At 38.5% G+C, this 27,666-nt stretch overlaps 1 protein-coding gene across 21 annotated transcripts in view, besides 1 other annotated feature; it reads left to right on the top strand.

Annotated features, from left to right (window-relative positions):
- The window catches only part of WDPCP (WD repeat containing planar cell polarity effector), a 721,268-nt gene that overhangs the window by 484,511 nt on the left and 209,091 nt on the right, over positions 1-27,666 (top strand). The window lies entirely within an intron of this gene.
- Positions 20,016-20,517: an enhancer, noted in NCBI's record as "NANOG hESC enhancer chr2:63562934-63563435 (GRCh37/hg19 assembly coordinates)". NCBI's record gives its function as "activates a minimal SCP1, AML or CMV promoter by ChIP-STARR-seq in primed H9 embryonic stem cells {active_cell/tissue: H9 hESC(primed)}" and the evidence as "EXISTENCE:reporter gene assay evidence [ECO:0000049][PMID:30033119]".

The following is a 27,666-nucleotide window of genomic DNA, read 5'->3' as shown; positions in this document are numbered from 1 at the left end:
GGGAGTCTATTTCTCTTTGTAAGTATTCTAAGAGCTTGCTATATGAATCTGAAGGCTCCTGTGTTGGGGTCATATATATTGAGGATAGTTAGGTCTTCTTGTGGAATTGAATCCTTTACCATTATGTAATGTCCTTCTTTGTCTTTTTTGATCATTGTTGGTTTGAAATCTGTTTTGTCTGAAATTAGGATTGCAACCCCTGCTTCTTTCTGTTTTCTATTTGTTTGGTAGATTTTCCTCTATCCCTTTATTTTGAGCCTATGAGTGTTATTACCTGTGAGTTGGGTCTCTTGAAGACAGCATACCATTGGGTCTTGCTTTTTTATCCAGCTTGCCACATTGTACCTTTTAAAAAGTGGGGCATTTGGCTTGGTTACATTCAAAGTTAGTATTGATATATGTGGGGTTTTTTTGTTTGTTTGTTTTTTGAGACAGAGTCTTGCTCTGTCACCCAGGCTGGAGTGCAGTGGCACAGTCTCAGCTCACTGCTACCTCCATGTCCTGGGTTCAAGCAATTCTCCTGCCTCAGCCTCCCAAGTAGCTGGGATTATAGGTGTCCGCCACCATGCCCAGCTAATTTTTATATTTCAGTAGAGATGGGGGTTGGGGGGTCTCACCATGTTGGCCAGGCTGGCCTTGAATTCCTGACCTCAAGTGATCCACCTGCCTCAGCCTCCCAAAGTGCTAGGATTACAGGCATGAGCCACCGTGCCTGGCTGATATGTGGGTTTGATCCTGTCATTGTGCTGTTAGCTGGTTATTATGTTAGCTTGTTTGTATGGTTGCTTGATAGTGACACTGCCCTGTGTGTTTAAGTGTGTTTTTATATTAGCTGGTAGCAGCCTTTTCTTTCTATATTTAATGCTCCTTTCAAGATCTCTTGTAAGGCAGGCCTGGTGGTAATGAACTACCTCAACATTTGCCTATCTGAAAAGGATCTTATTTCTCATTCACTTTTGAAGCTTAGCTTGGCGCAAACAAGAATTTCAATTCTTGTTTGAAGATTTTTTTCTTTAAGAATGTTGAATATAGGTGCCCAATCTCTTCTGGCCTGTAAGGTTTCAGCTGAGAGGTCCACTCTTAGCCTGATGGGGTTTGCTTTGAAGATGACCTGCCCTTTCTCTTTAGCTGTCTTTAACATTTTTTTCCTTCATTTTGACCTTGGAAAATCTGATGATTATGTGTCTTGTGGATGTTCTTCTTGTGTGGAATGTTGGAGGAGTTCTCTGTATTTCCTGAGTTTGACTGTTGGCCCCTCTAGCAAGGATGGGGAAGTTTTCATGCACCATATCCTGAAATATGTTTTCCACATGTTTGCTTTCTCCCCCTCCCTTTCAGGGATGTCAGTGATTCATATATTTGGCCTCTTTACATAATCCCATACTTCTCCAAGTTTTTGTTCATTCCATTTTATTCTTTTTATTTTTGTCTGACTGTCATTTCAGATAATCGATCTTCAAGTTCTGAGATTCTTTCCTAAGCTTGTTTTATTCTGCTGTTAATATTTGTGATTGCATTGTGAAATTCTTGTATTGTGTTATTCAGCTCTGTCAGACCTGTTAGGTTTTATATACATATACACACACACACACACACACACATACATATATACATACATACACACACATATATGTACACACACACACATATATATACACACACATATATGTGTGTGGGGGTGTGGGTGTATGTGTATATGTATTTTTAATGTTGAAGCTTTGGGGTGTGATCCAGCTGGTGGCACTTAGACTTATTGGTCAGTTGGTAGACTCTTGCTTAATGATTGTGACTCCCCTATGTTTGCTCACAGTTGCAGCCATTTTCCCTATTAGTGCTCTGAATGTGTGGGTTCCTTTCCCCCTTGAGTGCTGGCTGTAGATCATGACTTGGCACTCCTGGGGTGCCTACTTAAGCTCTGGAGAGATCTCAGTGTTTATGTTCCTTCCCCAACTTGGAGGCAGCAGAGGAAGGGACCTCATAGTGGTTATGGCCAAGTGTTGTATGCTTGTCTCCTGGAGGCTCTTCTCCAGAGAGATGCAGGTCAGCAATCACTCAGTGCAATCAGCCCAGGATGGAAGGTCTGTGCTGTGGGCCCAAGCCAGGGGTTCCTTGTCTGGTGACAAGCACTTGGGGATGTGTGGGATTGGTGGGAGACGGACTGGCCTCTCTTTGGGTCTACTGCAGCTTGTAAGAGGTGTGGATAAGGCATTTAGGGTCTTTGCCCCTTTGTTAGTCTGAGGGTGGCAAGGGCGGTTCCACTGTAGAGGCAGTGGCAGAGAGGCTTTCAGTTGCCCCTGAAGGCTCTGTTCAGGGAGTTGCTGACTTGCTACTGGCTCAATAGCTCTGGCAGGGGATGACTGGAGGCTCAGACCTGGAGGACCTGCCCAGTGAGGAGATATGGGAATGGGCAACCACATATAACAGTTTGGCCACTTTTCTATAGGGCTGCTGCAGTATTCTGGGGGCCTGCTCCCGTCCCTTGTCACTTCGGATTTTCCAGTACCTGGAGGTATCACCAGGGAAGGCTGCAAAACAACAAAGATGGCAGCCTGCCTTTCCCTCTGGGAGCTTCATCCCAGGGACATACGGTGCTGTTGCCAGCCCAAAGACACCTGTAGGAGGTGGATGGAGACCCTAGTTGGGAGGTCCTGCCAAGTGAGGAGGAACAGGATTGGGAAACTGCTTAAAAAAGCACCCTGGCCACGTTTTGGTAGAGCAGCTGTGCTGTGCTGGGGATCCTTTCCACCCCTGGTCAGCTTGGACTCTCCAAAGCCTGACTGGAGCAGCTAAGGCACCCAAATAGCAAAGATTGTGGCCTGCCCCTCCCACCAGGAGCGCCTTCTCAGGGAGGTGCAATGCTACTACCAGGGGCTGGCTGGAATTCCAAGCCAGTGGGTCTTATCTTTTGAGGTGCTGTGGAAGTGGGACTTGCAGGCTGTTTTTGCTCAGTCCCTTGGATTCAGCCTCTTTCCTAGGGGTATGTTCCAATGTCTAACCTCCCACTTTGCTGGAGCCGCAGCTACTTTTGCCAGAAAGCCCAAGTATCTAAGGCTCCATGGTCTCTACGTGTGCCTTAGGGACTGTTCTACAGAGACTCCAGGTAGCTCTGTCTGTCAGACTGAAGGCCCCGGTGGAGTGGGTTCACATAGAGATCTCTTGACCTGAGGGTTGCAAAGATCTGTAGGAGAATCGTGGTTCCCTGGGGTCACACATTCATTCACTGCTTCCCTGGCTCTGTGTTGCTTCCGGGTGGGCCATCGTCCTGTTGTGCTTTTCTTTGTTCTCCGTGGGTCAGGTTGTTTCCTTGATTAGTCCCAATGTGAGTATACAACCATGATTTTTTTTAAAAAAGGACTTTACTAATTTTTATTAGAAAGGGCCACTACCTTACTAGTTTTTTTATTAGCATAACCATTATTACACACCAATAGGACATAGCAGGAGTCAGTAAATTCATGTCATATTCACATTATTTGTGAAGTATGAATACCAGCATCCAAGGCACAGAGCTTGCACCCTCAAGTAGAGAATGTGTCATTCCTTTATGTATGTTCCTAGCCTTAATGGAGGCCAGGGAAGGTGTCTGGCACCAAGATCATATGCTCAACAGCTGCCTTTCCACTGTAGGAGATACTGGCTCCACGTTCTTCTCCTCTTTGCTTTTGAACCCAGATTGAATTAAGAATATTGAACTGTATTCAGGCTTCTGGCTGTTGTCTTGTCAAGTACAACTTACTATGATTCCCTGAATGCATTCATCCCATGATTCAGTTAAATATCCATTTAGTTTATATTTTATCATACTACTAAGTTATAAAGTATCGGCACTCAACATTGAAAATGGTTTCACATTGATTTCTGAAGCATATTTATTGCCATACATTAATTTATCACTGTAATCTCATGAATTTGTTGGGAGCAGAAATTATATCATTCTTGCCTTTTAGATAAGAATATGAAGTATAGGAAAGTATTGAAACTTAACACTTTTTAAAAACATTTTCAACTTTTAAAAAAACAAAAATAGACAAGTGCATCCTGATTAAATGAAAGAGCTTCTGCACAGCAAAAGAAACTATCAACAGAGTAAACAGACAATCTATAGAATGGGAGATGATAGTCACAGATTATGCATCCAACAGAGGTCTACTACCCAGAATCTATAAGGAAATTAAACAAATCAACAAGAAAAAACAACCCCATTAAAAAGTGGGCAAAGAACATGAACAGACACTTCTCAAAAGAAGGAAGACATACAAGCAGCCAACAAACATGAAAAAATGCTCAACATCACTAATCATTAGAGAAATGCAAATCAGAACTATAGTAAGATACCATCTCACACCAATCAGAATGGCTGGTATTAAAAAGTCAGAAAACAACAGATGCTGGTGAGGCTGCAGAGAAAAGGTTATGCTTATATACTGTTGTTGGGAGTGTAAATTAGTCCAGCCACTGTGGAAAGCAGTCTGGAGACTTCTCAAAGAACTGAAAATAGAGTCACCCTTTAATCCAGCAATCCCATTACTGGGTATATACCCAAAGGAATATAAATCATTCTACCAAAAAGACACATGCACTCCTGTGTTCATCACCGCACTATTCACAACAGCAATGACATGGAATCCACTCATGTGCCTATCAATGGTGAATTTGATAAAGAAAATGTGGTACCTGTATACCATGGAATACTATGCATCTGTAAATAAAGAAATCATGTTCTTTGTAGCAGTGTGGATGCAGCTGAAGGCCATAATCCTAAGTGAATTAACAGGAACAAAAACCAAGTGCCACATATTCTCATTTATAAATGAGAGCTAAACATTGAGCATACATGGACATTAATATGGGAACGACAGACACTGTGGACTACTAGATGGGAGAGGAAAGGACAGGTCATTGGTTGAAAAACTACCTATCAGGTATTAGGTTCACTACATGGGTGATGGGATCCATACCCCAAACCTTAGCATCACACAATATTCCCATGTAGCAAACCTGCACATGTACCTCCTTTATCTAAAATAAAAGTTGAGCCGAGCACAGTGGCTCATGCCTATAATCCCAGCACTTTGGGAGGCCGAGGTGGATGGATCACTTGAGGTCAGGAGTTCAAGACCAGCCTGACCAACATGGTAAAACCCCATCTCTACTAAAAATACAAAAATTAGCCAGATGTGGTGGCACACGCCTGTAATCCCAGCTACTTGAGAGGCCGAGGCACAAGAATCACTTGAACCCAGGAGGTGGAGGTTGCAGTGAGCTAAGATTGAGCCATTGCACTCTAGCCTGGGCAACAGAGTGAGACTCCATCTCAATAATAATAATAATAATAATAAATAAATGTTGATATTTAATAAAATTAGAGACAAATATTTAGAAATTTTCATTGTTTCAAAATATTTTATTATTTAATTAGATTTCAGGATAGAAAGCAAGGGAGGGAGGAAAGGTCTAAAAAGTATATAAATTGGCTATTTGCATTTAGTAGGTAAACAAAGCACCATAGAAGCTTATAATTTGCCTTGCCGTGCCACAGAAATGCTTGCAAATTGCCAGTAGACATCCAAAGCTTTACATAATCCCTACACTAAGCAAGAGTACAATTTAGAGCCAAAATGGAGTGGGAAGGACTATTACAGTCCTTCCTCTTTCAACATACCCTATACTGTGCCCTGCAAAGAAAGGGCTTAGACCTCAGATCAAATGGACAGTAGCTCACAGTGTAAGCCTTAAACCCGCAACTTCCAGGGACTGACAATGGGTTGGCTCAGATATGGCTGTTAGAGAGAGGAGGGTGTATGCAAAAGAGAAGCACACAGTATTTTTTTTTTTTTTTGGGTTTCGTTGATTTTCTCTATTTCCTATTTTCTTTTTTTATACTCTAAGTTCTAGGATACATGTGCACAATGTGCAGGTTTGATACATAGGTATACATGTGCCATGCTGGTTTGCTGCACCCATCAACTAGTCATTTACATTAGGTATTTCTCCTAATGCTATCCCTCCCCCAGCCCTGCACCCTCCGACATGCCCCGGTGTGGGATGTTCCCTGCCATGTGTCCAAGTGTTCCCATTGTTCAATTCCCACCTATGAATGAGAACATGTGGTGTTTGGTTTTCTGTCCTTGTGATAGTTTGCTGATAATGATGGTTTCCAGCTTCATCCATGTCCCTGCAAAGGACATGAACTCACCTTTTTTATGACTGCATAGTATTCCATGGTGTATATGTGCCACATTTTCTTAATCCAGGCTACCATTGATGGACATTTGGGTTGGTTCCAAGTCTTTGCTGTTGTGAATAGTGCCGCAGTAAACATACGGAGAAGCACACAGTATTAAGGAGAGGAAATCCTATACCCCATGAATTCTTCCATTTCAGTCTTTCAGAAAAGGAGGGCTGGAATCTAGCCTATTCCCTGAATGTGATCTGGGAGAGCCTGCAACTAAATTGAAATAATCCTGCTATTTTTTTATTCAGCAGAGATGAGCAGTGCTGTAAGAAACCAGGGGGTAGAGCTAGCCTAGTAAATTAGTTTTTATAAGCCTCCCTTTTCGTAAAGGTATTTTTCTCTTCAAAGGATGAAAATAAGACTGTTCCTAAGCCAAACAGCTTCAACTTCAAATGTGTCATTTTAATGCAGATTTATATACCTTTTTTATATGGGGGCTAAAAAGGAAAGAAACCAACTTGGGTTTTTTTTCCCCAGAGGATTCTGACTACCATTCATTATTAATTGATTAATGAAAATGCCAATAAACCTTTAATTTTTGTATGATGTTATAATTTAATCAGAAATAATTTATCTTTGAAAATAATTCATATAGAAAGAGATAGTCTAGAGGTACAAAATAGTCATGAGTAGTGGTTAATTTGATACAGCTTAGAATAGAGTGAAATTTAGGATGGGTTTTAAATTAACTAAAATAAAATTAAAAGAAAATAAATTTTTAGTACTTTATGACTTAGAATAATAAAATTGTACTTCTATACATTTAAACTAAGATCTGAATTATTTTATTTTTGAAATTTATGCCCTATATATACAAAAACAATGAGTTAAAATTTCTAGTAAAGAAACAGGTACTTCCAACAACCTCATATTTCTAGAAAAAAAAACCAGGAACTTTGACTAAATCATTACTTCTATTCATACTTCACAGACAAAATTTAACATGAACAACCAATCCATGTAAATTTTTTACAGATTTATTAATCACAAATTTTCATCCCTATACTAAACACACAGGCACACAGACCTCTCCTACTTCAACAGGAGAACTCGGTTGTAGTTTCCATAAGTGGCCATGAGAAACATTTCTGAAAACTTCTATGGACATCTCACTATCTCAACATGTTTTCAGGTCCACAATTTATACTGCTATTTTATCAGCTCAGCTTTTCTGAATATCCCTGATGTCTGAAGAGCCAGAATATGTTCCCACTTGTTAACAGTTTTCTCCAGAGGCATATCCTTGGTTAAACAGTAGTGTTGAAACTCTCCTTTGTTGGGCCTTATCTTTTTACTCATATTCTTATTTTTTAAATATACTTGCTGCCATTAATTTGGAGTTTTCTATTTTAATTTATTTTAGACTGATTTACTGTCATGGAATTATTCTTCAACTTAGTATTATTTTTCATGTAATTATAATATCCGTAGTCATTTTGCAACATTATATCATCAATACCCATATAAGCACAATTAAATATACATGGTATCTCCTACCATTATTATATGGTAATAGAGTCAGTCTATTACCAGTTTCCTCATCATTGCTGTCAGAAAAAAGTCTTAGAAATAATGTCTTTAGAAATATAACACCAACAATAAGATTAATTGGTACATGTCATCTCAATAATCAACAGCAATTATAATTAAGAATAGCCCCTCTACTAGGTATTGAGGAGGATGCACTAGTTATGAATGCTTCACTAATTCTTCATTGACAGCTCTGCTATAGCACTTATAGTCTGAAGTTTAAGTCAGTTGTGGAGATAGCATGCAGTAATTTTTGAAAAGTCCAAGGCTTGGAGTCAAACACAACTAAGTTTGAATCCCAGCTTCCTAATTTATTGGATGGGTAACTTTGGGTGAGTTACTTAAGCTATTACTATTATTTCCATCTTTATAGATGAAGAACTTACCAAACTTTAATTAAATGCCAAGATTATAAATAATAAATAATAAAGTGACTAGCATGTATTAAGTACTTTGTAAGTGATAGCTATTATCATTGTGTTTGTGGCTATCTCGCCTACTAGACTGAGTTTCTTAAGGTGAGAAAGACTAATGTCATTAGTTTTTCTAAACTTTTTAGTCCTACCACAGGACATCAAGCATTAGGGGATTTTGAAAATACCCTATAAAAGTAAATGTAGTTATAGCTGACATCTAGCTGATGATAACTTTTGAATGATACTAATTTTAAAACTTGCAAGGTCCAAAATGACAGAAGTTTAGGTCCCTAACATATAAGTCAAAGAGGGGGCTGGCATTAGGGAGGGCCACAATCAAAAGTCAGGGCCATAGCTGGGACTCAATAAAGCTCAGATGAATATCCAGTCGGGGGCGGGGGGGGCAATTTCCCCCTCTCAGAAGTTATTTCTTCAACACCCAATGACCCCCCCACAAAAACAGCCCAACATGGGAGCTACTTGATCATTCTTTTTCCATGACTACAACATGGCATTTCTAATCTTGAATTCTGAAAACCAAAGAACCAGATCTAAAGAAGGATCTATAAGCCTGGGGCAAATACTTAATTCTTTTCCAATGACAGTAGAGCAACACTATGGTAAAGAGTGTGAGTTTTGGAGCAAGACTGCCAGGCTCCATGTCCTACTATGCAATTGAGTAGCTATGGGAGCTTGGACAAGTTAAGGGTTGCCAGATTTAGCAAAAATACAGAATGCCCAGTTAAGTCTGAATTTCAGATAATAAATAATTGTTTCATATAAGTATGTCCCAAATATTGTATCAGATATACTTATAATCAAAAATTATTATTCATCTGAAGTTCAAATATAACTAGGTGTCTTGTGTTTCACCTGGCAACTCTTATTTAACATCTCTGTACTTGAGTTTTCTCATCAGTTGAATGGGGATAATAGTACTACCAATTTAACAGGGCTGTTGTCAAGATTAAATGAATTAATATATGTAAGGTACTTAAAATAGTAACTAGTACACAGAAGATCCTAATAAATATTACCTGTTGTTGTTACTGTGGCTATTGTTGTTAGGGTTGTAATATTTAATGAAAATATTATTTGAGAGTTCCTGCTTTCAGCTATGATAATTATTTGGAAACAGACTGACCCTCTTGCCATAGACAATTATTAAACTGGACAAAATGCACTGAAAATTTGTCTTTAGATATTAAAAGATTGACAGTATAGGACTCTGATCCCTGAGAATTAAAAACAAATGAGGTCAACCTTATGATCCTCTGGTTTTATGATGAGAGGCACTTTCTAGACCAGAGAGCAAAGAGAGGGAATGCAAGTGGAACATGGCAGTTTTTTGAGTTAGTTGGAGTTCAGGGAAGATGAGGCAGCTTGAATTTGCAGGTTTGTGTACTGGAGAGGCAGGTGCTTTGTGGAGAAAGAGCTCCATAAATCTACATAAGAGTCACCTTGAGTCTTTGGCTGAACTCTGAGCTATGCATTCATAGAGTGAGATGACTTGAGGCTAGGAAAAGAACAATAACAGGCAGTTCCATGTCTCCCAGAAAGGGAGCTGCCCTAGAATCCCTGCTGGGGATTGGCTGGGAGCAGCCTGTGGGAATTATATGTTCTGTGCAGATGCACTAATGGATTTCAGACCATAGCAGCCAGGGCTGCTGGTCTATTTTGTTGAATGAAGTCAGAAATCTGAGGGGTGCATTCTCAAGATCTCCACTATCCACCTATTGGCTGAATAGGTCTACTTTTCCACATAGGCTCAGCTATTCCATAGTAACTGAGGGGAGGTGAAATGGGAGGTTCATAATATAAACTGAACCCACTGTCACTGCATCTCATCTCGGCTTCAGATGATTCTTACTCTCCCTGCTATGCTTTCCATTTTTTCTTGTGCCATAACAATTGGGGTATTTCACTTCATTGAGTATTGGACATTACTTTTTCCAGGCATCTAAGAGCCATTCCAGCAGCAATTAGCTCCATCTCTTGGGCTCCTCAGTAAGGTGTTAAATCCTGTGTCCTGAAAAAGTACCTCCACATAAATGGACTCTTACCCAGTTTTCCATTCCAGCTCCCATGTTCAAGCATCCTCTTAATCCAATCCGAGAGGTGCTCCCCTATTTTTGCTGGCACATAGTGTCGAATTCTTGCAACTCTTTAGTTGTATAGTCTCCTACCTTATCAGGTTCATCATGTCCCCAGCTGGATTGTGCTGAGATTTGACTGTAGTTATCAGCCTGGCAGCCAGGATAAAGGTAGAGGCATTTCCTGAGAGAGGGGAGTAGGTACTACATTGTGGGGAAAGGTCTCTGAGCTTCTTCTAGTACAGTGGAGTGCTGGCTCAGATTCAAGAGTTCTGCAGTATCAGAATACTCAAGGGCATCTATTCAGAGGTACCCATTTCATATTTCAGGATTCCAAGTGTTACTAAGCAGTTCCCTGACTTTAGTAAAGCAGACCTGCCTTGATGTTGCATCTTAACATCTCTAGAGTTCTGATCAACAATTAGATCTTCTACTTGTCTACTATGTCTGCCCTTCAAATTAAGAAGATAAGAACCTCTGTGAGCTACCAGAGAGATTCTCTGTCACATTTAGTCATTACCTGTAAATAGCACTCAGTCTTTCACTAGCCTTCCTGAAAGCATATACAGCTTAGTAGCAATCAGCAAATTCCACTGACTTAGTGAGACTTGCCTATCTGTGTCCTGCCAACTGCATGTACTGCAGAGCGGTTCTACAGAAAGGGCACTGGGAGTCTTCAAGCCAAAGTTGCCCAACTAAAGTGCCTTATGTCACCTAGAAACAGACTGCATTAGTATTGCTCTTTCTGAATAATCACCCATTGCCTAGGAGCAGCTTATGGAAAGTGTAGTCCTAACATGAAAATACAGTGATAAACTTCAGAATGCAGCAACTGGGGCTGTAGTAAATTTTCTGTGTAATAGGAAATTGGAGATGTATATGGTAGTAGATGCCACACTGCGGTTTATAAATAGAAGCAGGAGTGATATCATTAAACACAGCTGAGTAAGAAGCTCCAAGAATTAATGCCTCCACTGAAGCAACTGTTAAGTAGGCAAAAACTGACAGAATCAATTTTTTGAAAATTAGATTATAAAGAATCTAATGAAACAGAGCAATCAGGTGAGTGCTTAATGAAGATAGAAGCTGCTAAATTTTGGTTAGAAAGCATGGTGGCATTTTGGTTACCTGTGTATCACCCCCAGTTCCCAGTGTGATAGTGGCCATAAGGACATTTCTGGTGTGGTTAGTTGGTGCCAGAGGGCCATTACAAACCTTGTTCTCAGAAACTGTGGTTGTGTATTTTGACCAGTCTGGTGGTTTCCAGAGGAACTGATACAGAGGTTCGGTTTTTTCACATCCCTCAGGCTGGAATAGCATTTCTGGCAGTGTGTATCTAAAGCATGTAAAGACATGTAATACCTATATGTCTGAGAAAATACCTAGCTGTCTCAGTCAAGGGATGGCAAATGGGGAAAGCAGCAGACAGACCAAAGAAACCTGGGAAAGAAAAGGATGAGGAGAAAGATATTTGGGTGAATAGGAGCCATGAATAGCTACTTGCATATGTTAGTGAATTGTGTACAACACCATGCCCAGAGCTGGACACAGGCTCAGAAATAATGAGATGCACCCTGGGTTTACACCTCTGGAGGACTTTCAGAGTCTGCACAAGTAAGAAAGAAATGGTAAGGCAGAATGTCAGGCAGCCTGGCTAAACAGTGAAGGAGTGCCCTAGTTCTCGGAAAATTTTTGTCTTTGTTCATTTGTTATTGTGCTTCAGGATTTAAAGGCATCTCTGTTAGGTCACCAGCTAATGACAGAGATAATGAAATGGAGACTTCACCGACCACAAATGACAAGGAATACAGGCTTTGCAAGATTAGTTTGGGAATGTCACTAATAAAATGGGTGACTGCAGCCCTCAGCAGTAACAATAGCAAACCATGGAGAGGGAAATAATCTGATTTCCAGAGTTATAACATTAAAATATTTAAAATGTCAACAAAAGTTTAAAAGCAGGAAGGTATGGCCCATTCACATAAAAAAGAAAAAAAAATAGAACGTATCCCTGGGGAAGCCCAGACATTGAAATTACTAGACAAAGACTTAAAATCAACTGTCTTCCTTTAAACTCAGAAAGCTAAAGGAAACCATGGACAGTAAACTAAGGGAAACCAGGATAATGATGCCTCAGCAAATAGAGAATATCAATGAAGAGATAGAAATTATAAAAATGAACCAAATAGAAAAGTTGGAGCTGGAAAATATAAGAACCAAAATGATAAATTTGCTAGATGGCATTCATCAAGTTTGACCTGGCAGAAGAAGCATTAAAATAGGACATGAAAATAGGACAATTGAAATGATCAACTCTGAGGAATAAAAATTTTAAAAATGAAGAAAAATGAACAGAGTCTGTATATGCAGCATAGCAGCATATATATTATGGGAGCCCTAGAAAAAGAAGAAAGACTATCAGAAGAAATTATGGTAGAAAAATCCCAAATTTGATTGAAGACATGCATCTGCACATGCAAGAAGCTCAACAAAATTCAAGCAGAATCAACTCAAAGATCAATACCAAAACACATTATAATCAAAACCAAATGACAAAGAGAGAATCTTTAACAGAAAGTAAGAAGTATTTTGTCATGTAGAAGGGATCCTCAATATATTAACAGATATTCTCATTAGTAATCCATGTAGAAGGGATCCTCAGTATGTTAACAGATACTTTTCTCATTAGTAATCATTGAGGCCAGAAGGCAGTGAGAAGACATATGCAAACTGTTTAAAGAAAAAAAAAAAATCACCTGTAATCCCAGCACTTTGGGAGGCCGAGGTGGGCAGATCACTTGAGGTCAGGAGTTTGAGACCAGCCTGGCCAACATGGCAAAACCTCATCTCTACTAAAAATGCAAAAAAAGAAAAAAAGCCAGATGTGGTGGTACAAGCCCGTAATCCCAGCTACTCGGAAGGCTGAGGCAGGAGAATCGAACCTGGGAGGCAGAGGGTGCAGTGAGCTGAGATGGCACCACTGCACTCCAGCCTGGGTAACAGAGTAAGACTCTGTCTCAAAGAAAAAAACCAACAACAAAGAATTTTATATCCAGCAAAATTATCTCTTAAAAATGAGGGAGAATTAAGACATTCTAGATAAAAGATGAGGGAGTTTTTGCTAGTAGACGTGTCTTATAAGAAATGCTAAAAGGAGTTCTTCAGACTGAAATGAAAAGACACTGGACAGTAACTCAAAGCCATAGAAAGAAATAAAGAACGTGTAAAGATAACTACATAGGTAAATATAAAAGACAATACTACTGTATTTTTAGATTGTAAGTTTTCTTCATGATTTAAAAATTAATACATGAAACAATAATTAAAACCTATGTAAATGGGGATACAATATATATACATGTAATTTATGACAATAATAACAGGGTAGATAGAGCTATAGAGAAGCAAAGTATTTGTATGTTATTGAAGCTACGTTGGTGTGAATTGAAACTAGATTGTTATAAATTTAGTACATTAATTATAATCCTTAGGGTAACCGCTAAGAAAATAACTAAAAATATATACAGAAAAGGCAATGAAGATTAAAATGGTACACTGGAAAAAATTTGCAAAATAAGGCAGTATTGGAAGAATTATATAACAAAACACATATGATTTATGGAAGACATAGCGAATGGTAGATGTACTTTCTTATCAGTAATCAATTTAAATGTAAATAGATTAAATTTGATACTTAAAAGGCAAAGATTGAAACAACGGATTAAATCAGGGCTCCCCAATCCCCAGGCCATGGACCTGGTTAGGGTCCCCAATCCCCAGGTACCATGGCTTGTTAGGAACCAGGCCACACAGCAGGAAGTGAGTGGTGGGAGATTGAGCATTACCACTTGAGCTCTGTCTCCAGTCAGATCAGTGGCAGCATTAGATTCTCATAAGACCATGAACCTTATTGTGAACTGCACATGCAAGGGATCTAGGTTGCATGCTCCTTATGAGAATCTAATTCCTGATGCTCTCAGGTGGAATGGTTTCATTCCAAAACTATCACCCCCTCCCCACCCCATCCATGGAAAAATTGTCAAAAAAGTTGGGGACCACTGGATTAAATAACATGATCCAACCATATATGTTCTAGAAGTGACTCACTTTATATCCAAAGACACAAATAGGTTCAAAGTGAAAGGATGAAAAAATATATTCTATGCAGTGGTAACCAAAAGAGAGGTGGGGTGGCTGTACTAATAACAAATAAAATAAGATGCTAAGACAAAAATTATTACATGAGGCAAAGAAGAACATCATATATTGATGAAAGAGAAAATGCATCAAGAAGATATTACATATTTAACATGTGTGCACCAAACAGCAGAGACCAAGATATATGAAGCAAACATTGATGCAATTGAAGGGAATAGAAAGTTATACACTAATAGTTGATGACTTCAATAGCTCTGTCCCATCTCTCTAGATGTCCCACCTCTAGAGAGAAAGTCAATAAGGAAATTGAGGGTTTGAACAATGCTATAAACTAACGACACCCAATAGATACATAAACAGAATACACTACCCACTACCCACAACAGCAGAATATACATTTTTCTCAAGGGCATTCTGCAGGATAGATCCTATATTAGGTCACAAAACAAGTCTGGGGCTGGGCGTGGTGGCTCACGCCTGTAATCCCAGCACTTTGGGAGGCCGAGGAGGGTGGATCACCTGAGGTCAGGAGTTCGAGACCAGCCTGGCCAATATGGTGAAACCCTGTCTCTACTAAAAATACAAAAATTAGCTGGGCATGGTGGTGCGCTCCTGTAGTCCCAGCTACTCAGGAGGCTGAGGCAGGAGAATCACTTGAACCTGGGAGGCGGAGGTTGCAGTATGCCGAGATCACGCCACTGCACTCCAGTCTGGGCAACAGAGTGAGACTCTGTCTTTAAAAAATAAACAAGTCTGAATACATTTAAAAAGACAAATCATACAAAACAGTTTCTGTCAGAGTAGAATGAACCTAGAAATTAATGAAGGAAACTGAAAAATTCAGAAATATATTGAAATTAAACAAAAGACTCTTAAGAGGTCCCAGAAGAAATCACATTGTCAAATTTGACAGAAATTAAAAATGAAAACAGTGAAACTTACGGGGTACAGCAAAATTCATGCTCACAGGGAAATTTATAGTGGTAAATGCCTACATTTTTAAAAAGGAGGAACTTCTGGATTTAAAATGGCAGTGTAAATGCAAGCTGCCTTAACTCCCCCTCCCACAGAAAACCAGAAATAAATATACAACGGTGAGATTTCTACCAACAACAACCCAGAACTCAAATATGAGGATGATACAGATCCCAGGGCCACAGAGAAGTGAAAACATTCTGAGCAGATGGTAGGAGAATTGGACTTTCACATCCATCATACCCCTTACTCCTATTCTGCCTGGCAACAAGTGAATGGAAAAATCTTCACTTCAGTTCACAGTTTCTATACTGGAAAAAGTAAGATTAAGGTGGTCAACCAGCAGTCACACTATATTGGGGTCCCTGGTAGGAGACCTGCCCTTGTGTTAATCCACAAGAAGCATCATGACTGCTTAAATGAAGAAATATCCCTTAGGAGAGGCAGAGACAGAGTAGGTAGGCAGGACTACTATCCTCCACCCTGGAAACTCTGCTCTGGAACTTGGCCAAAGGAGACGCCAAATCACGGTGGTTATTCAGCAGCACCACACTTTAGGAGGTATGTTTCACAGGTCCCTTGGACAGGAACTCCTTGCCAGCCTTCACATACTGCTGGGATAATCCCTTTAGGACCGCACCATTTGGGACAGGCAGAACTCTGATCATTTACTATAGCTGAGGAGAACCTGGGCTTAAAGAGCCACCTTGAGCCAAAAAGGAGGCAGTGACCTACCAGTAAAGATAGGCTAAGCAAATATATTCAATAAAAAACAAAACAAGCTGGACAGAAAAAACAGGAATGAATAATCCTTCAATGCAAAGACGTAGATGTATACCCGTAAGAAACACCAACAAAGAGAACCATGAGCTTCCCAAAAGGACTAAGTAAAAATCCAGTGACTGACGCTAAACATGGTATATCACATTAACAGAATAAATAACAAAAAACATATGATTATTTCAATAGATGGCAAAAAAAAGCATTTGATAAAATTCAATATACCTTTATGATTGAAAACCCTCATCAAAATAAGTATAGAAGGAACATACCTCAAAATAATAAAGGCCATCTATGACAAACCCACAGCTAAAATCATACTGAATGGGGAAAAATTGAAGACTTTCCCTCTAAGCATTGGAAAAGACAAGGATGCCCACTTTTCACCACTTTTATTCAACATAATATGGAAACTCCTGGTGAGAGCAATTAGGCAAGAGAAAAGAAGAGAAAGGGCATCCAAACTGGAAAAGGAGAAGTTAAATTAGCCCTGTTTGCAGATGACATGATCCTATATGTAGAAAAACCTAAAGACCCCACCAAAAAACTGTTAGAACTGATAAACGAATTCAGTCAAGTTGCAGGATATAAAATTAACATACAAAAATCAGCAGCGCTTATATATACCAACAGCAAACAATCTAAAAAATAAATCAGGCTGTGCACGGTGGCTCACACCTGTAATCCCAACACTTTGGGAGTCAGAGGTGGGCGGATCACTTCAGGTCAGAAGTTTGAGACCAGCCTGGCCAACACAGTGAAACCCCGTCTCTACTAAAAATACAAAAATTAGCTGGACGTGATGTCGTGTGCCTATAGTCCAGCTACTCGGGAAGTTGAGGCACAAGAATTGCTTGAACCCGGGAGGCAGAGGTTGAAGTGAGCTGAGATTGCACCACTGCCCTCTAGCCTGGGTGACAGAGTGAGACTCCATCTCAAAAAATAAAAATTAAAAAAATAAGAAATCAGGAAGGCAATCCCATTTATAATAGCTACAAAAAAAAATTAAGTACCTAGGAGTCAATATAACCAAAGAAGTGAAAGTTCTGTACAAGGAGAACTGTAAAACTCTGATGAAAGAAATTGAAGAGACACACATACAAAATAGATATTCCATGTTTGTAAATTGGAAGAATTAATATAGTTAAAATCACAATACTGCCCAAGGCAATTTACAGATTCAATGTTATCCCTATCAAAATACCAATGACATTTTTCACAAAAATAGAAAAAAAACTATAAAATTTATATGGAACCACAGAAGACCCTGAATAGCCAAAGCAATCCTGAACAAAAAGAACAAAGCTGGAGTCATTACACTACCTGACTTCAAAATTTACTACAAAGCCATAGTAACTGAAACAGCATAGCACTGGTATAAAAACAGACACATAAACCAATGGAACAGAATAGAGAACCCTGATATAAATTCACACTTTTATAGACAAGTCATTTGCGATACAGACACCAAGTACATATAATGGGGAAAGGACAGTCTTTTCTAATTATCCATATATATATATATATATATATATATATATATATATATATATATATATTTTTTTTTTTTTTTTTTTAGATGGAGTTTTGCTCTTGTTGCCCAGGCTGGAGTGCAGTGGTGCGATCTCGGCTAACTGCAACCTCCACCTCCTGGGTTCAGGTGGTTCTCCTGCCTCAGCTTCTGGAGTAGCTGGAATTACACACACCCGTCACCATGCTTGGCTAATTTTTGTATCTTTAATAGAGACGGGGTTTCACCATGTTGGCCAGGCTGGTCTCAAACTCCTGACCTCATGACCTCAGGTGATCCACCCGCCTTGGCCTCCCAAAGTGCTGGGATTATGGGCGTGAGCCACTGTGCCTGGCCCTAGGAGAGTCTTTTCAATGAATGATGCTGGGAAGACTGGATTACTCTTTGAAGAACAATGAAGGTAGACCCCATCTCTCACCATACACAAAAATTAAATTAAAATGGATTAAATACTTAAACCCAAGACCTGAAAGTATAAAACTACTAGAAGGTATCATTAGGGAAAGGCTCTGGGATATTGGTTTTTGAGAAGACATTTTGTGTAAGACCTCAAAAGCACAGGTAACCAAAACAAAAATAGACAAATGAGATTACCTCAAGCAAAAAAGTTTCTGCATAGCAAAAGAGATGATCAACAAAGTGAAGAGCCAGTCCACAGAATGGGAGAAAATATTTGCAAATTATTCATTTGACAAGAGATTAATAATCAGAATATATAAGGAGCTCAAATAACTTAATAGCAAAAAAAATCCTATTTTTTTTAAATGGGCAAAAGATCTGAATAGACATTTTTCAAAAGAAGACATACTAATGGCCAACATATATGTGGAAAAACTGTTCAACATCACTAATCAGAGAAATGCAAATCAAAACCACAATTACCTATCATCTTATCCCAGTTAAAACGACTTGTATCCAAAAGACAATAACAGATGCTGGTGAGATTGTGGATAAAGGGGAATTCTTATACACCGTTGGTGAGAATGTAAATTAGTATAGCCACTATGAAGAACAGAATGGAGGTTCCTCGAAAAACTAAAACCAGAACTACTATATAATTCAGCCATTTTACTACTGCTTTAAATATATACTACTGCATATATATCCAAAAGAAATGAAATCACTATATCCAACAGATTTTTGCCCGCCCATGTTTATTACAGAACTATTCACAATAGCCAAAATATGGAAGCAACCTAAGTGCCCATTAATGGATGGATGGATAAAGAAAATGTGGTATATATACACAATGGAATATTATTCAGCCATCAAAAATGAAATCATGTCACTTGCTACGACGTGGATGGAAATGGAGGTCATTATGTTAAGTGAAATAAGCCAAGCACAGAAAGACAAATACTGCATGTTCTCACTCATAAGTGGAATCTTAAAAAGTGACTCTCATGGGCCGTGCGCAGTGGCTCACGCCTGTAATCCCAGCACTTTGGGAGGCTGAGGTGGGTGGATCACGAAGTTAAGAGATTGAGCCCATCCTGGCCAACATGGTAAAACCCCATCTCTACTAAAACTACAAAAATTAGCTGGGCATTGTGTCACAGGCCTGTAATCTCAGCCACTCAGGAGGCCGAGGCAGGAGAATCACTTGAACCTGGGAGGCGGAGGTTGCAGTGATCTGAGATCATGCCACTGCACTCCAACCTGGTGACAGAGCGAGACTCTGTCTCAAAAAAAAAAAAAAAAAGTGACTCTCATGAAGATAGAGAGTAGACTGGTGGTTACCAGAGGCCAGGAAGGGTAAGATGGAGGATAAAAGGGGAAAAATATATATATAAATATATTTATTAGCACTGAACTGTACACGTAAAAATAGTAAAGGTGGTAACTTTATATGTATATTTTACCTAAAAATTAAATTAAAAAAAGAGGAGAGATCTGAAATCAACCTAATGGGTAGATTTATCACAGGAATACAAGGGCATTTCAACATAAGAAAATCTGTCAATCATGAGTGGAAGCAACGAGGAAAGCCATACAATAATCTTAATTGATGCAGGAAAAGTGACCACATTCAATACCCATTCATGTTAAAAACACTCAGAAAACTAAGAATAGAGGTGAACTTCCTCAACATGATAAAGGCCATTTATGGAAAACCCACAGCTAACCTTATATTCAATGGCTGAGTGGTTTCCGCCTAAGATTGGGAACAAAATAAGGATGTTCGCTTTCACCACTACTAGTCAATATTGTTCTAGAACTGCTAGTCAGAGCAATTAGGTAAAAGAAAGAAATAGCACCTAAATTGGAAAAAGAGTAGAAAAACTATATTTGCAAATGACATGATTCTATTTTGAAAATTCCAGAGAGTCCACATAAAAACCATTATGTTACAGGAAAGCGGTCCTGATCCAGACCCCAAGAGAGGGTTCTTGGATCTTGTGCAAGAAAGAATTCAGGGTGAGTCTGCAGTGCAAAGTAAAAGCAAGTTTATTTAAAAAAGTAAAGGAATAAAAGAATGGCTACTCTATAGAGCAGCCTTGAGTGCTGCTGGTTGCCCATTTTTATGGTTATTTCTTGATGAAATGCTAAACAAGGGGTGGATTATTCATGCCTCCTCTTTTTAGACCATATAGGGTAACTTCCTGATGTTGTCATGGCATTTGTAAACTGTCATGGCGCTGGTGGGAGTGTAGCAATGAGGATGACCAGAGGTCGCTCTCGTTGCCATTTTGGTTTTGGCAGGTTTTGTCTGACTCCTTTACTGCAACCTGTTTTATCAGCAAGGTCTTTATGACCTGTATTTTGTGCTAATCTCCTATCTCATCCTGTGACTTAGAATGCCTTAACTTGCTGGGTTGCAGCCCAGTAGGTTTCAGCCTCATTTTTACCCAGTTCCTATTTAAGATGGAGTTGCTCCGGTTCACGTGCCTCTGACAATTAGACCTAATAAATGAATTCAGCAAGGTTGCAGGATACAGGATCAACACACAAAAACAGTAGCATTTTTCTACACCAGCAATGAACAGTTTAAGAAGGAAATTAAGAAATCCTGGCCAGGTGTGGTGCATGCTTCTAATCACAGCTACTTGGGAGGCTGATGTGGGAGGATCTCTTGAACCTGGGAGGCTGAGGCTGGACTGATCTGAGGTCGTGCCACTGCACTCCAGCCTGGGTGACAGAGCCTACACCCTGTCTCAAAAAAAAAAAAAATCTTTCATTCTATTTACAATAGCATCCAAAAGAATAAATTACCTAGTGTAAATCAAATGAGCAAGGAGAGTCTCAATCATTTTAGGAGGTTTATTTGCCACAGGTAAGGACATGCCCAGGAAAGAATACAGATTCACAGGAAAAATTGTGGTCCATGCTTTTTCCAAAGAGGGTCTGGGGACTTCAGTATTTAAAGGGAAAAGGGCAAGTATTGGTGAAAGAGGAAGAAATTTTAAAAGGGCATGGGTAGATAAGAGGCAAGGGGTTGCATTCTTTTGAGTCTTTGATTACCCATATACATGTGAAAGGGGTAGAAGAATAGTCACTTACGCATCTAGCTCATTAAATCTGCATTTTTTAAATAAGATAAACATAGAGCAGAGGAAGCAATCAGATATGCATTTGTCTCACTCAGTTGGGCAGAGGGATGACTTTGAGTTATGTCCTTTGTCCCTTACCTGTGAAGATAAGCTATCAATTTACATTGTCAGGGTAGAAGTCAACAGAACTGTTTTAGGGTAAAGATCTTGGGGCCCACAAGAAATTTCCTCGTGGGCAAATTGTGAAGGAGGTTTATAGCTTTTAAAAATCTTTGTATCTGTCCTATTTAGGAATAAAATTGGAGGCAGGTTCGTGTGACTCAGTTTCCAACTTGACTTTTCCCTTTGGCTTAGTGAGTTTGGGTCCTAAGATTTACTTTCATTTCACACTAGCAATAACTATAACCAAGGAGATTGTGAAAGGAAAATAAATCTTGGGGCCCCAAACTCACTAAGCTAAAGGGAAAAGTCAAGCTGGGAACTGCTTAGGGCAAACCAGCCTCCTACTACTCACTCTACTCACTAAGATAAATGCATATCTGATTGCCTCCTTTGGAGAGGCTAATCAAGTTCTAAAGAATGCAACCATTTGTCTCTTGTCTACTTATGACCTGAATGTCCCCTCCCCATCTCCAGTTGTCCCACCTTTGCTTCAAGTTGTCCTGCCTTTCTGGACCGAACCAATGTTCATCTCACATATGTTGATTGATGTCACATGTCTCCCTAAAATGTATGAAACCAAACTGTGCTCTGACCACCTTGGGCACATATCAGAACCTTCTGATGCTGTGTTACAGGCACGCATCCTCAACTTTGGCAGAATAAACTTTCTAAATTAACTGAGACCTGTCTCAGTTAGATATTCAGGGTTCACAAGGTGAAAGAAATAAACACTGAAAGCTATAATACATTCCTGAAAGAAATTAAGACTTAAATAAATGTAAAGACACCCCATGTTCATGGATTAAAAGACTTGGTATTGTTAAGCCGGCAATTGTAAACAAAGTAATGTACAAATTTGATGGTACCCCTCCCAGAATTCCAATGGATGTGTTTTTTGTTTTCTCAAAAATAGGGAAAGCCAATCTATGAATTCATATGAAACTACAAAGTGCCCCCAACAATCTTGAAAAAGAACAAAGTTTGTATATTTCCCCTTCATTATTTCAAAACTTATTACAAGTGGGTTTTTATTAACTTGTCAAGATAATTCTATGTGGAATGTGTTGTTGAAAAGAGTCAAACTCTGTAAAATATTTTAAGAGATTTATTCTGAGCCAAATATGAGTGAACATGGCCCATGACACAGCCCTCCGGAGGTCCTGAGGACATGTGCCCAAAGTGGTCAGAGTGCAGCTTGGTTTTATATATTTTAGGGAGGCATGAGACTTAAATACATTTAAGAAATACATTGGTTTGGTTCAGAAAGGCAGGACAACTCAAAGCAGGGGCTTCCGGGCTATAGGTAAATTTAAACATTTTCTAGTTGACAATTGGTTGAGTGTATCTGAAGACATGGGATCAACAGAAAGGAAATGTTCAGGTTAAGATAAAGGATTGTGGTGACCAAGTTTTATTGTGTAGCGGAAGCTCTCAGATAGCGGACTTCAGAGAGAACAGGTTGTAAAATGTTTCTTAGTGGACTTAAACGTGTTCCTAGCTCTTAGTTGATTATCTCCTGGATCTGCAAAGGAAGGAAGGAAAACAAAGGGGAAAAGGGAAAGGGGATTCTCTACAGAATGTGAATTTTTCCCACAAGAGACTTTGCATGACAATTTCAAGGTATGACAAGGAAATATATTTTGGGGTAAAACATTTTGATTTTCTTCCTTGTTATGACAGAGTCAGATTGGAAAGTAAGTCATGATATACAGGGTTTAATAAAACCCATCTGATGAGAATTTTTGGTTTGTAGGGCATGAGTCCCCAGACCCCTTATACAGGAATTTGGGCAAGATAAAAAAAATCAGAGCTTAGTCATCAAATGAGTAATCTTTTCAATAAATGGTGCTAAAACAATCGGATATCTGTGTGGGCCAAAAAAATAAAAAATCGTGTTCTCATACCAATATAAAATGTACTTGAAATGGGTAAAGCCTAAATATAAGAGGTGAAACTGTAGACCTTCAGGAAAAGTGGATAGAAGATTAACATTAATGATTTTGATATAAAGATTTCTTAGATATAACATGGAAAAAATAGGTCGAGTGTGGTTGTACCTGTAATCTCAAGTGCTTTGGGAAGCTAAGGTGGGAGGATCACCTGAGGCCAGGAGTTCCAGATCAGTCTGGGCAGCACAGTGAGACCCTGTCTCTACAAAATCAAATAAGGAAAAAATAAAGAATAAAAAAGACAGATCTTCATTAAAATTGGAAGCTTCTGCTCTTCAAAAGACACCATTAAGAAAATGAAAATGGAAGCCACAAACTGAGAATATTCTCAATATATGTATCTGATAAAACAGTATCTGATTAGAGTATTGTATCCAGCATATATAAAGAATTCTTACAACTTAACAGTAAGATAACGCAATAAAAAATGGACAGAAGATTTGAAGAGACACATTACCAAAGAAAAAATATGGATGTCTAGGTAGCACATGAACAATGTTCAACATCATTAGTCATCAGAGAAATATAAGTTTTACATATAATAAGAAGCCACTACAGTAGGAACCATTAGAAGGATAAAATTTAAAAGACAATACCAAGTGCTGGGGAGGATGTGGATATACTGGAAATTTTCTGTGTTGCTCTTGGATATATAAGATGTTATAACCATACTGGAGCATTGTTCAGCAGTTCCTTTTAAGAATACATTTACCATATTACCCAATAATTCTAACCATTCTAATCATACATATATATGTATTTCTGTTAGGGGGGAGATATATATTTATATTTATACATTCTAACCATTCTAATCATATGATTAGAATTATTAGAATATTATTAGAATGGTTGGAACATATACATAAAAATATATATATACATATATATACACACACACACACATATATATATGTATCTCCCCCCAAGAGAACTGAAAATACATCTCCACACAAGAACTTATACATGAATACTTAAAGCACCATTATTCATAACAGGCCCAAATGGGAACATCTCAAATGACCACCAGTTGGTAAATGTATAAACAAACTGTTGATTAATGCTACTCAATTTTTTTTTAAAAGCTAGCTACCTGAAAAAAATGGATGAATCTCTAAAGATTTATGAAAAGAAAGGTAAAAACAATACATTCTGCACTATTCCATTTATGATATTATTGAAAAGGAAAAGCAAAGCCTGATACATTTTAGACTATATTCTGTTTGATATCAAACATATGACATGCTAGGAAAAAAAGCAAAAGTATAGTGACAGAAACAAGGTGGATAAATTGTTTTTCAAAGCCTGAAGGTGGGTGGACTAAGGGCATTTGCTGCAAAATAGCACATGGAAACTTTTTTGAGATGATCTAAAAAATACTTATCTTGATTGTAGTTATTGTAACATAACTATACATTCATCTAAACCCCTTGCACTGTTTAAAGTGGTGAATTTTATTATAAATGAATCATATCTCAATAGGTGATTAAAACATTCGAGATATCTTTCCTGAAATAGATGACTTGAATGTACGTACTGAAAGAACTCACAATGTACCTGGAAAATTAACCCAAACAGTCAGACTGTTCCATGAAATAGCTTAGTAAAACAGACTTTAAAGATAATATATCCTCCCAGTCTCCAGGCCAAAACATTAAATCATTTTGAAAGGGTAAAAATAATCAAGTTAACATCAGATTTCATACCAACAAAAGAACACTGGTGCAGTGACTACAAAATACTCAAGGAAAAAGGGGATGGGCCAAGGATTTTATATCTTTCCAAGCTGTTCTACATGGTGTCAAATCTGGCTTTAAAAAAATATGGCCGATGGCTTTAAAAAAATTAGGCATGATGGCTTATGCCTGTAATCCCAACACTGTGGGAGGCCAAGATGGGTGAATTTCTTGAGCTGAAGATCAGCTTGGACAACAGAGCAAAACCCTGCCTCTACTAAAAATACGAAAACTAGCTGGGTGTGCACATCTGTAGTCCTGGCTACTTGGGAGACTGAGGTGGGAGGATCCTTGAACCTGGGAGGTCAAGGCTGCAGTGAGCCATGATAGTACCTCTGCATTCCCACCTGGGTGACAGAGCAAGACCCCGTCTCAAAAAAAAAAAAAAAAAAAAAGCCTTGGGGAACAGTGAACATATGCATCCTAAGGATGAAACACACAATATACCAAAACATAACTAGATGCAGCAAAACAGTTCTAAGAGGGATGCTTCTCTTATACCATACAAGCAAGTTAACTTAAAATGGATTAAAGACTTAAACATAAAACTGTGAAACTAAAACTGCTAGAAGTAAACAAAGAGGTAAAGTTTCTTGCCATTGGTTTTGGCAATGAGTTTTTAGATTTGATATCAGAATCATAGGCAACAACAGGAAAAATAAAGAAATGAAACTACATGAAACTAAAAAGTTTCTGTACTGCAAAGAAAAAAAAAATCAGCAAAATGAAAGGCAACCAACTGAATGAGAGAAAATATTTGCAAACCATATAGCTGGGAAGGGAGTCAATATCTAAAATATATAAGGAACTCATACAACTCCATAGCAAATAAACAACCAAATTTTAAACTGGGCAAGGGAACTGAATAAACATCTTTCCAAAGAAGATACACAAATGTCCAACAGGTATATGGAAAGATGCTTGACATTACTAATTATCAGGAAAATGAAAATCAAAGCACAAAGAGATAACACCTTACATCTGTTACGATACCTACTAACCAAAAAGTCAAAAGGTAACAAGTGGCTGGCAAGAATGTGCATAAAAGGATACCACTTGGGGGGAATGTAAGCTGGTATAGGCCCTGTGGAAAACAGTATAAAGGTTTCTCAAAATATTAAAAACAAAACTATCATATGGTCCAGAAATCCTACTTCTAGGTATATGTCAAAAGGAAATGAAATCAGTATCTTGAAGAGACATCTATACTCATGCTCATTGCAGCATTATTCACAACAGTTGAGATACGGAAACAACCTAATTTTCCCTCAAAAGTTGAATGGATAAAGAAATGAGATACATATCTATATAATGGAATATTATTCAGCCTTTAAAAAGAAGGAAATCCTGTTACTTACAACAATGTGAATGAACCTAGAGGACATTATGCTAAGTGAGTAAGCCAGACACAAAAAGACTCCATGATCTCACTTACATGTGTAATCAAAAAAAAGTTGCACTCATAGTAATACAGAATAGGATGGTGGTTACCAGAAAGTTAGGGAAATGAGGCATTCTGGAAAAGAAGAGATGTTAGGCAAAGGGTACCAAAAAAATTCAGTCAGCCCTGAAAAATTTGGATATTTCACATTTAAAATTTTTTTAAATGAAAAGACCTTTGGGGGAAGGGTAATAATGAAAAAAATTGAGAAACATTGATATACAAAACCAGAATAATAAAATTCAGACTACCAACTTCATCTACAAGGCAAATTAGGAAGTTCTGTGAGGATTAGTCAATCTCTAATTCTTAGCAGAATTAAATAGAATTCAAATACTTACAAAGTTCTATTAATATCATCTGTATCTTTCACTTATATTGCAGTATAATCAATAAAAGCAATGTACTTGCAAAAAAAAAGTGCGGTATGTACATAAATAGAGTATCATTTTGCCTTATAAAATAAAGGAAATTATAACATGGATGAACCCGGAGCACATTTTGCTGAGTAAAATAAGCCAGGAACAGCAGACAAATATGACTTATTCCACTCATATGAGAAATCTAAAGTCAGACTCATAGAAACATGGAGTAGAATAGTTATTGCCAGGGCCAGTGGGAGGGGGAACAACATGTGTTAGTCAAAGAGCACAAAGTTTCAGATATGCAAGATGAGTAAGACCTAGAGATCTAACGTACAGTGTAATACCTATCATTAACAAATACTGTACTACATACTTAAAAATTTGCTAATAGGGTACATCTTAAGTGTTCTTATCATGAAAGTAAACAAATTAAGAGGGCCAGGCATGGTGGCTCACGCCTGTAGCACTTTGGGAGGCCAAGGCCAGCAGATGGCTTGACCCAGGAGTTCGAGACCAGCCTGGCAACATGACAAAACCCCATCTCTACAAAAGATAAAAAAAATTGGCCAGGCACAGTGGTGTGTACCTGTAGCCCCAGCCTACTCAGGAGGCTGAGGTGGGAGAATCACCTGAGCCCAGGAGTTTCAGGCTGCAGTGAGCCATGACTGCTGTACTCCAGCCTGGGTGACAGAGTGAGACCCTGTGTCAAAAAGAAAAAGTAAAAATTAGAAAACAGAATAAGAGGAAATTTTTGGAAGTGATAGATATGTTTATGGCATTGAGTGTGGTAATGTGTCTGGAATTGGT

This window comes from Homo sapiens, chromosome 2, assembly GCF_000001405.40.
Source record: "Homo sapiens chromosome 2, GRCh38.p14 Primary Assembly".
Taxonomy (NCBI): Eukaryota; Metazoa; Chordata; class Mammalia; order Primates; family Hominidae; genus Homo; species Homo sapiens.
The sequence above is the reverse complement of the archived record's forward strand: the minus strand, read 5'-3'. Positions and strand labels throughout refer to the sequence as shown.